This window comes from Homo sapiens, chromosome 1 (assembly GCF_000001405.40).
Source record: "Homo sapiens chromosome 1, GRCh38.p14 Primary Assembly".
Lineage (NCBI taxonomy): Eukaryota > Metazoa > Chordata > Mammalia > Primates > Hominidae > Homo > Homo sapiens.
The window spans coordinates 146,176,664-146,187,596 of record NC_000001.11 but is presented as its reverse complement, the minus strand read 5'-3'; the positions used below and the strand labels follow the sequence as shown (position 1 = coordinate 146,187,596).

General features: G+C 39.0%; 1 protein-coding gene across 4 annotated transcripts in view, besides 3 other annotated features; it reads left to right on the top strand.

Moving 5' to 3' along the window:
* NOTCH2NLA (notch 2 N-terminal like A) overlaps nt 1–10,933 on the top strand; it is an 80,157-nt gene that overhangs the window by 41,425 nt on the left and 27,799 nt on the right. The window lies entirely within an intron of this gene.
* Nucleotides 4,334–4,834: an enhancer, noted in NCBI's record as "H3K4me1 hESC enhancer chr1:145254930-145255430 (GRCh37/hg19 assembly coordinates)". NCBI's record gives its function as "activates a minimal SCP1, AML or CMV promoter by ChIP-STARR-seq in primed H9 embryonic stem cells {active_cell/tissue: H9 hESC(primed)}" and the evidence as "EXISTENCE:reporter gene assay evidence [ECO:0000049][PMID:30033119]".
* Nucleotides 4,835–5,335: an enhancer, noted in NCBI's record as "H3K4me1 hESC enhancer chr1:145255431-145255931 (GRCh37/hg19 assembly coordinates)". NCBI's record gives its function as "activates a minimal SCP1, AML or CMV promoter by ChIP-STARR-seq in primed H9 embryonic stem cells {active_cell/tissue: H9 hESC(primed)}" and the evidence as "EXISTENCE:reporter gene assay evidence [ECO:0000049][PMID:30033119]".
* Nucleotides 9,547–10,129: an enhancer, noted in NCBI's record as "NANOG-H3K27ac-H3K4me1 hESC enhancer chr1:145260143-145260725 (GRCh37/hg19 assembly coordinates)". NCBI's record gives its function as "activates a minimal SCP1, AML or CMV promoter by ChIP-STARR-seq in naive H9 embryonic stem cells {active_cell/tissue: H9 hESC(naive)}" and the evidence as "EXISTENCE:reporter gene assay evidence [ECO:0000049][PMID:30033119]".

Sequence of the window (10,933 nt, the reverse complement as noted above, 5' to 3'; positions counted from 1 at the left end):
CCTAGTACAGTGCCTGGTGTAGTTATTGTTCAGCAATGTGTTTCTTAAACTAAAAGGTGCTAAGTAGATACCGTCATGCACATGTTTCTTATCTATTTATGTTAAATAAGAAGACACTGGTTCTCTCCTTTAAAAATTTCAGTGTGGCGATTCCTCAAGGATCTAGAACCAGAAATACCATTTGGCCCAGCAATCCTATTACTGAGTATATACCCAAAGGATTATAAATCATTCTACTATAAGGACACATGCACATGTGTGTTTACTTCAGCACTATTTACAGTAGGAAAGACTTGGAACCAACCCAAATGCCCAACGGTGATAGACTGGATAAAGAAAATGTGGCATGTATACACGATGGAATAGTATGCAGCCATAAAAAAGAATGAGTTAATGTCCTTTGCAGGGACATGGATGAAGCTGGAAGCCATCATTCTCAGCAAACTAACACAGGAACAGAAAACCAAACACGGCATGTTCTCACTCATAAGTGGGAGTTGAACAATGAGAACACATGGACACAGGGAGGGGAACATCACACACTGGAGCCTGTCAGGGGGTGGGGGGAAAGGGGAGGGAGAGCATTAGGATGAATACCTAATGCACGTGGGGCTTAAAACCTGGATGACGGGTTGATAGGTGCAGCAAACCACCATGGCACATGTATGCCTATGAAACAAACCTGCACATTCTGCACATGTATCCCAAAACTTAAAAGCAAAATTAAAAAAAAATTTATTTATTTCACATAGCATTCAGGGTGGTAATACCATACAGAGAGGCAAATTGGTTCTATTTGAAGATCATTCAACTTGGTGACTTATATATGGAGAATTTCAAATATGTTCTAAGTGTTCGCCTATATATTTTTGGTCTGACATGGGGAGAGAAGGTTTCTAGGGGAGACTAATCTCTGAGCACTTACCAGGAGAGGACACCTAAGGGTCACTGTTGGGAAGAAGTCCAATAGTTCTTTGTTGGACTGTTGGGCTGCTAGTCTCATACTCTCCAACCAAGGTTGGAGACCATCCTGGCTAACACGGTGAAATCCCATCTCTACTAAAAATGCAAAAAATTAGCTGGGCGTGGTGGCACGCACCTGTAATCCCAGTTACTCGGGAGGCTGAGGCAGGAGAATGGCCTGAACCCAGGAGGCGGAGCTTGCAGTGAGCCAAGATTGCACCACTGCACTCCAGCCTGAGCGACAGAGCGAGACTGTGTCTCCAAAAAAAAAAAAAAAGAAAATGGAGCTGCCTAAATTCTGTCCCTGGCTACTTGTTAATTGTTGATAGGATGGAATGCTTATGGATACAGTTCTGGGTATGTCCCTCAGATGTCTTTCCTGTTTTGAGGGAAACAAACTCCTTGAGAGAAAGAAAAAATTTGGTGAGGCCATCCTTTTGGGAGACCAAGATGAACAACAAAACTTGTATAAAGAGAGTGATTCCCTACCTCAGCAAAAGTAATATTAGCATATTTAGGAGTGGCAGGGTCAACATAAGTGGACAAAGAAAAAGCAAGAACAATATCAAGGCAGCCACGTCAATCATTCTACAGTGCTTTGCCAGCCTCCACAGAATTTTAAGCAAAATTTTATGCAAAAATAATGTGTACCTAGCAGAGCTTTCAGTGTATTTTCACCAACCTTACCTTTTTTTCTGTGGAGAAAGAAGATGATCTAGCTTGTTCAGTAAATATTATTTTCACAAAATAGAAAATAAATATTAAAACAGAAGATTTATAAAAATTCTATCAGGCATGCAGGGCATGTGATTATCTTTTTATTCATGCGATTGCTTAGTGGATTAAGAAAAGAAAGTTGAAGCCAAATTCCTTTTACAGGGCCAGCGTGGGGGTGAGTGGTGAGTGGTGGGATGGGAACTGGTAGAAAGTGTTTTAAAATAGAAGGAATCTGACTATCTGTTTAGACAGCATAATGCTACTGATTCAGCTAAAATATAATGATTGTTTATAGAAATTATAAAAATCCTTGATAAGATCACATTGACAGATGAAGATAACTACTTTTGAAGATTAGTTTTGTACTCAGCTCAACTGTTTTTTCTCAGTGTTAGGAGCCTAAGTACCCTATCAGTCTGTGATTAGATTTTGATGCCAGATTAGGAGAACTTGTATAATCTTGCATAAAACTCAATTATTGCTGTTAAATAACTACTGTCAAATCTTAATAAAGCCCTCTCACTACAGGGAGATAAGATATTTTATTCTTTCCCTTGTCCTACTGGGAGGTGTAAATATGTAATTAAATTTGATGTCATTAATCACTTTCAAGTTGTTTGCTTCAGATTTTCAAATATAAACCATTCTAAATCCCAATTTGATTAAAGATCATGGACAACTCAAGTTCACTAGGATTCTGGGGGTAGGTTAGGTTATGATTTGTATAATTGACAAAATATGTATTTTAAGGACATTTATTGTAGTTATTTAAAATCTTTGTCTGCTGGTTCTTAACATCTGGGTTGTCTATGGATGTGTTTCTGTTTCTATCACCTGCTCCTTCTTTGGACCATGGGTATGACTTCCCTTTACTTTACACATGTATGGTAGTTTTACATTACTTACTGGACATTGTGGGTGATAGATTTTAAAGTTTATCTCCCACTAAAGAATGTTGAATTTTGTCAAGATTGGCAGATCATCTTGATCCTATGGATGCTAGGTTTTAGGACACGTTAGGGTGGGCCTACTTCTGTTCTGCCCTTAGTCCGATGACACAAATCTTAGTCATGGGATAGGGCTCTTATTCCCAAGATGTGACCCTTCTAGGGGTTCAGTGGAAAGTGTGAGGGGCCTACCAAGCCCTGAGGTGTTCATTAAGCCCCTCTAAGGCAGAACTTGTCCTCCCAGCCCCAGGAGCCTTCTGCTCAGTCTTTTCAGCCGTCCAGCTCTTACTTTCTCTTGGGTTTCTGAATCTTATCTTGCTCATGCATAGTCAGGAATTATTTAAGGATTTGAGCAGAGTTGTATGCATACTTTGAAGCTACCCACTCTGTGGTTCTGTCTTTTCCAGGAATTTTTCTCCTCATATTCTAGCTGCTGTGACAGCTCCAGATACCTCTGACTCCTCAGTATCGCAGGACTTCCGTTTTCTGCTTGCACACTCTTCCTCTTCTGCTGCATGAACTGGGGTGTACCTTCACGATAAAAAAAAAACAAAAACAAAACTGTAAATGTGGGTTTCATATAGTTTGCTTCGCTTTTTCTGAGGCTTATATCCCTTCTAGTTTATGCCTGCTTTCAGTGATTCTCCAGTGCCTTTGATATTTTGTCCAGAGCAAGAGGGCTAGTCTGATATAAGTTACTCTGCAATTATTTTTAATGATGAAAATTGGAAATATAAAGGGGCCTTTCAGAATTTCATACATACCACTTGGTAAATATCTAACATAGTGTTTGTAAAACAGCAGAAAGTCACCGTGAGTTGTATACGTTCCTGTAGATGGGTGCTTGCATTTGAGAATGTCCACTTTTTGCTAAAGTGCTGATCTAAAAACTACACTTTAAGGTAAATTATTATAAATATAAAGTGTTATAAAATATAACTTTGTGTCACATTTTGTCTAAAACTTGTCTGCTAGCTGTAATAAACATTAAACATTAACAGCTAACAATTCTCCTTGCCAGGATTAGGCAGTCATGTTGGTGGTCCAGATTTCCTGAATCCATCCAAGAAAAACTAGAGCCATTGCCTTCTTTGTCTTCTTGGTAAATGTCTGTATAGTAAGTAGAGAGTAGAGACACTCATAATCCCTTAGAACTTAGCTTTTTATGGAGGATGCATTCGCAATGTTTCTGTTGTGGTGCTTCTCCCCCAAAAAGGCGTTTTCAGAAGTCATGGCTGACTCAGCATTTCCCCCTTTCCTTCACCTTCTTGTGAGTGCATTCAGGGAGGCACAGGGGCATTGTCAGATCAAAGAAATAGACAGGGAAAAATATCAACTGTTAAATTACTTTCTCTTTCTTCTCAGCTGAAACTGGTTCTGCCAGCCTAGTTCCTTCAAGTACGGTGCCTATTTAGCTGAACATTGTGTGTATAGTTTTTCTGGAAAATGATAGCAGAAGCTTGGCCAGTTTTCCATAGTTCATTTATCTTTTTAACATAAAACAAAGAATGCTGTTTTTTTGGCTCATTAAATACCTCTCATAGAGTAATCTTTTCTTAAAATGTAATATGTTCAGGTTTTATTAATTCAAGAGTTATTTATTGCATGCTATTTATGCGTACCACATATAATAGATAACTCAAGTCTGTGGTAGTAGTTGCAGTTAATCAATATTGTTATCATATTATTTCACACTTCTTTGGGAAGTCATAAAATAATTACCAGTTCATTAACTTGGGCTTCTTAGAGAGGTTCAGAGTAAAGCCAAGTATGAAAAAAACTGACTATAATGTGGCCTTCTGTACAGGGGCCACCAGTGAATGGCAGGGCTGGGACCATGGTGAGGCAAGTAAGGCACAGGCCTCTCTTGTGAAATTTAAGAGAGTGCCAAAAAACTCACTAATCAAAATAATGTTTGTATGTAGTTGTTCAAAAAATCAAAATTAATGCAAAATAAGTTGAAAATTATCAAAATTTTAAATAAGGAGATCAGTAGTACTGATTTTTTCTTTTGCCTTATGACCTAGTATGGTTCAGCCTGCACTGGTGAGTGGAGTAAGGGTCCTGGAAGATCCTTGACTGGTGACATGAAGAGGACATAGTTTTTTGTTGTTGTTTTTTTTTGAGACAGAGTCTCGCTCTGTGGCCCAGGCTGGAGTGCAGTGGCGCTTTCTTGGCTCACTGCAAGCTCCGCCTCCCGGGTTCATGCCATTCTCCTGCCTCAGCCTCTCAAGTAGCCGGGACTACAAGCGCCCGCCACCACACCCGGCTAATTTTTTGTATTTTTAGTAGAGACGGGGTTTCACTGTGTTAGCCAGGATGGTCTCTATCTCCTGACCTCATGATCTGCCCGCCTCGGCCTCCCAAAGTGCTGGGATTACAGGCGTAAGCCACCACGCCCAGCTGAGGACATAGGTTTTTTTATGCCAGATAGACTTAAGTTTGAGTCCTGATTCCTATTAACAATTGGATCTTTGGCAAGTTAAAGTCTATAATGCTAGCTAACATTATTGCGTATTAGGGTCTGTTCTCAAGTAGTTTACATGTATTTACTTTAGTCCTCATGTGAGAGAGAGACTATATGGAAGCTAAGAGAAGTTAAATAATTCACTCAAGATCCCATCACTCTGTAGCTAACCTGAGATATACTCGTGGAAAATGTACTGTCACGTTGAGTCTCAGTTTGCCTGTCAATAAAATGGGACAGAATTACCTGTTTTAAGTTGGTAGTTCAAATGGAACCTTCTGAAAAGGAAGTGTGGAACATTTGAAAGTATACAAAAAGGGGACTTTTCAGATCAGGAATATGATTAAAACACTGCTTTATGTAATTTCTAAATTTAAAGACAGTAGCATTAGGTAGGCCTGAGTACCTCATATCATTCTAGAACACTAAATCTGCATATAGTTACATGAGTGTACATGGGCCAGGTTTGGTGAATACTGCATTTCTGAGAAATGGCCTTTAACATGAAAGCTCAATGTAATAACTGTGGATGAAATAGAAGAAGAGGGCAGTGAAGGTGGGGATAGAGGATATTGTCTATTAAAGTGTGCTTCAGTAGAGAGAACTAATTTGAAACTTCTCCTTTCTTTTTACTAATGGAACAGGAGCAAGTCCAGACAGATTTATGCAGTTGTGAAATTGAGACAGGTTAAATTCAGTGATTTTTGATAAATGTTGTTGCCAGCACAAAAGTCACAAGTTGTTGAATATGGCACCTTACATTTGCATAGTGAGTTACAGATGCATAGGAGTATGTCCTGTGAGGCTTTTCCTTGTATTAGGACTTGAGATCTGGACCCTTTAACAGTACCATTCCTAAGTGATTCTTATTAATACTTATGTCCTATTAAAATCCTTTATCAAATATGATGTTTCCCTAAGGGGTCTTTTGTAAAGGAAGTCTTGGTTACTAGCATCTCCATCTGTGGCCCAGGCTTGAGTGCAGTAGAGCAATCATGGATCACTGCAGCCTCCACCTCCTAGGCTCAAGCCATCCATCCTCCTGCCTCAGTCTCCCATTTTTAAAACTTTTTATAGAGACACGGTCTCACATGTTGCTCAGGCTGGTCTCGAATTCCTGGGCTCAAGTGATCCTCCCACTTCTGCCTCCCAAAGGGCTGGAATTACAGGCCTGAACCACTGTGCCTGGCCAGTTAGTAGCTTCTTAACACATAGCAACATAATTTCCATACTATTTTCAACTAATTTTTATTCTTTCAGTTGGGACCTTTATATATTTCAGTGTTCAGTGAAGAAGTAGGAGAATCTGGTTCTTAGGCTCTGCCTATATCCTTTTACCTGTCTTGGGTAACTGCCAAGAAATTAAATCAACAAATTTTGGCCTGCAGTCTGGCATTAATAGATGTGAATTTAGCTAGGTTTCTTTCAACACAGTCTCCAGGTCAATCGTAATCTTATGTGAAGTTTCTTATTCAGGCATGTCTCGTTAGCACCATTAATTTCACACAGGAATTCTTTTTTTCTCCCTTTTTTTGTGACTAAGCAAAATGAGAAATATTTCTCTTTCAGGATATGGAGAGGCTTAATTAAATTCTTTAATTTTGTCTACATCTGCCCTTATGAATGATAGCAAAGGAATGGGGGATATCAGAATATGAGAAAAAGTAATCATCTAAAAATTTCCAAGCACTTTAAAATTTATTAAGCTAGCATAAATATGTGGGTGTGATAGAGGTTTTCATTAGGCCTCCTCTCAACATACAGTAGTTAGGAATGAAGTTTAGTGTCTCTCCGTCCTCCTGTCATATGTGTGTATGCACACGTGTGCACATGCGACTGTGTTATGCATTTTGTTTTCATATTTCTTTTAGTTGGGTTTTACCTTACAACCCAACGTAAGGTAAATTAAAATTTCTATTGGATTTCCGCACATTTTCTAGATCCTATTTATTCACTGTCAGTGACCTTCACTAGCACTTAGTCCTCTGAGTCCAAAAATGTATTGCCAATTCTTAGACTCCATCAGCCTTCTCCTATGAAAAAGTAATGCAGTTAATTTCTGCTCAAAATGCTCTTCTCCTAAACAGTCTTCTACTTGATCTTTATGAAAAGAGTTTTATGAAAGAAAAGTGAAAATAAAGACTAAGAAAGACATTATTTAAGTGATGGGTGATATTATTCAGTGAACACATTCAACTATAGCATTCTATCCAGTTTTTTGCCTTCACGTAAATATGAGGAGAAAGGTAGGTGTTAATAAGAAAATAATCTGATTAGGATTTATGTAGAATGGTAGCATTTAGGGTATTAAATCTGTATAGATTCAGGTCATTTTCCTGCAGTCACTGTCTATAATCCTGTGTGCTGAACACTGAAAGTTAGATGGACTCTGAAGCGCTATAGAATCCTCACTTTTCAAACAAAAGTTTAATTTTTATCACACTAGTATTTATTGAGCAGGCTACTATAACTGATCACTGTACTGGGTATTGTGAATAGACAGAAAAGCCCAAGAGGCCTGTGTTACCTGACTTCTTTATTCACAAGTATACGTACCCAGAGACTGTCTGACAGTGAATGCAGTTTCTCCTGCATAAGACATGGTGGCAGTCTTCTGAAGTCTTGCTGGGGAGATGAAGCATACAGAGATGTGTAAAATAAAACAGTTTGTAATATCCCAGTGTAGGGGCACAGATAATAACTATGGACACTCAGACAAAGGAACAAGTACTGTGGGACAAAAGAGTAAAATCAGAGGACTTTTGGTGCACTGCTTAGATCCTAAATCTTTGAATATTAGTGGTGCCTTAGAAGATGGATAGGTAGGAGAAGGGTGAGAGGAAGGGAGCTGAGGAGACTAGAAGGGACTGTTATTTCCTGGAATAATCATTACCAATTTCTTCATCACGTTTTCTTAATGACACGGTTTCAAACGTTTTCTTCATCTTGATTGCTGTCTTCTGTGTATATGCTGGTTTGTGTGAGGTTTTACTAAACCAGTATGTGGATTAATCTAGTTTCACAGTGACAGGTAAGTGATTTAGAAAATCATTCCTTTAGCACATGTTAACTTGAACGTTTGGAGGTAGAATGCCTAGAGTGAGGGTGAAGGAGAGGACCTGGGGACAGGAAGAGAGGGCAGCTGGGAGCAATTATGCTCCTTCCCTCAGACCTTTTTGGCCTTGACTCTTGATTCTTGTACTTCTACCAGACAGAGAGGCGGTAGGCTTGTGGCCATGTTTTGCGAGGAAAATCAGAATCTAAGAATCTCTAAGGCAAGAGCAAGAATGGATTGGGATAGGGGAAGTGATAGGAAAACAGAGGCACTAAGAAGAGGGTTGGTTTTCATGTACTGCATAGTTCATTCCCTTAGTTGAGAAATCAGGTATCTCAACCTCAGATATCTTCTGTCCAGCATATCGCTGGCCAGATCTGATTCATATGAGGGATCCAGAGTAAGGAAGCATCTGTTAGCCAAGTCTTTGGTTACCCCAAATTAGCTCAGGTCCTTTACTGCTTGTTTCCTCTGATTATATAGTACATATCCAAACCCTCAATTTTCCAGAATAAACTAGGTCTGCCTATTCTGTGTGGAAAACATTTGATGGTGGTTAAGATTCTCTTGCCTAGACGATGGTAGTGCCTTAGTCGTTTAACTGCCTGTCACTTTAAGATTTTGAAATACTGGTTCTTGTTGTGTAAGCCAGACACATCTTGAGAATATTTTACGGGGCAACTTGCCCTTTCTGAAACCTCAGTCATCCTGAAAAGTAACTCTGTACCTCCTTGACTTTAATTTTTCTGTCTTAATTCTATTTGTATACAATGTTTGTGGTGTCTGATTCTCTGTCTCGTATTGCTGAAACTCATGGCCTTGAATTTCTGGGTCACTCTTAAAAAATAGACATAACTTGATTACTAATGAAAAAGTGACTCATTTTCTTCCAGGCAAAGGCTGACACTGACTGTCACAGTTTGTGACAGAAGCAGACTCTCTAATTAGGAGACATCACCTATTCTTTTCTAAATTTTATAAGAATTGATGATAGCATCATGAGATGGGAAGTGAGTAAGATAAGCGTTTATGCTTGTAGAGAGGATGCATAAAAATGAAATCTGGATAAAGTTCTATCTGAATTTACCTTTTTAAGTGGTTGATTCCCTGTGAGCTTAAATTTAGTGCTTCTCTTCCCAGACCGTTGTCTTACATACACACTTCAGTCAGTTTTAGCCTTGTATAACTAATCAGCAGGTCAGATTCCATCGAGGCTGAAATACCTACCACCATTCTATGCTCAAGAAAACAGGCTCTCATGTTGGCCAGTTGTTTGGGATAGAAGATGGTTAGACCTTTCTATCCTTTTTAAACACAAGATTCTTTTTCATTCCCCTTATCTTGTTTAAATATATTGTTCCTTCTCTTTGGTTGTTCTTTGCTTTCTTATGCATCTGTGAGGGGCTAGCTGAAAGTGTGAGTTGTGGAACAATTCATTTACATAAGTGTATATTGAATTATCTGTGCACCTAGAGGGTGATGGGCACTGTGAGGGATATTAAAAAAGAGACACAGTACAGTTCTTACCCTAGGATCCCCTGCTTGGAGTGGGACAGTGGTCAAGACATATACAACCACAAACACCCAAACATTAACATCAACAAGCATCATTACATCCTTGGGTGGTATTGCCAAGGGACTTCAAAGGCCAAGATTATAGAGTCATCACACTTAGGAGGTCAAAGGGACTTTGGAAAGCACCTTTGTCACTCATTTTGTTTTATAAGTGAGGAGGCTGAGGTGTAATACAGCTAAGCGAATTAGCCTTTATTACATAACTCATTAGGATGTAGACTGGGACTAAGAGCTGTTTCTCCAGATCCCATTAGGCAATCTAAAGATTCTGCACTATTTCTTTTTCATTTTTGGTATCCAAATAGGTACAGTTGTTTTTGATCTAGGAAAATCCTTTTAGACTAAACAGTAAGCTTTTTAAATTACTCTGCTTTTAGATATTTTTTGGACTTCAGAACTTTGAAGGTGGTCATCCACCAACATTGGGGAATGGAAAGAAGGCTCCAACACTTTTCTTTCTAGAGATCTTCTTTAATTTTCAATGGCAGTCACTACAGAATCTAGCAGTTCATGCTATTGAGGCCACTTTGTAGGATTTTTTTTTTTTTTTAGTCAGGGCTCCAGGTCCCTGGTGGTTTATGTAGTCAGTCTTATCAACAACCGATGAAAGACCAATAAAAGTGCAAGAGGGAATGAGGACTGTGTGTGTGTATGTCTGCACATGCACACATGCCTCTCTGTGTGTGTTGGTTAACTTCATATTTGGTAGGTGGGAGGGAAGGTGATTAAAAAATAATCTACTTTGCATGGAGTTGGCCCAATTTGACTGATATAGGGGTGAGTGGGGGTTAAGAAGTAGTCTATATATCAGGAATCTTAATTAGTTTTGAAAATCCTTTAGGTAAATAGCTCAACCCAGTTGTTCCCAAACTTCAAGTGTATTTATAGGGTCTTTTTAAGGGGTAAAGATTCCACAGAGCCCTTCATTTTGACCTTTTGCTTCTGCACTGAATAGTCGAATGCCTTCTATATGCCAGTCATTGTGTTAGGCACTGGGAGTATGAGAATTAATAATTTTAGTCTGTTGACAGATAATCATAATAAGGGCTAATGAGTAACACAGGCTCAGGGTTATAAGAACAGAGGGGGTGTCAAGGCTGTTTTTCACAGGAAATAACATTTAAGTTCATACAATGAAATTTTAGGGCTTAGCCATGAGAAGGTGGGGAAAAGCATTTTGGGCTGACTGAACAGCGTGTACAGAGGTCT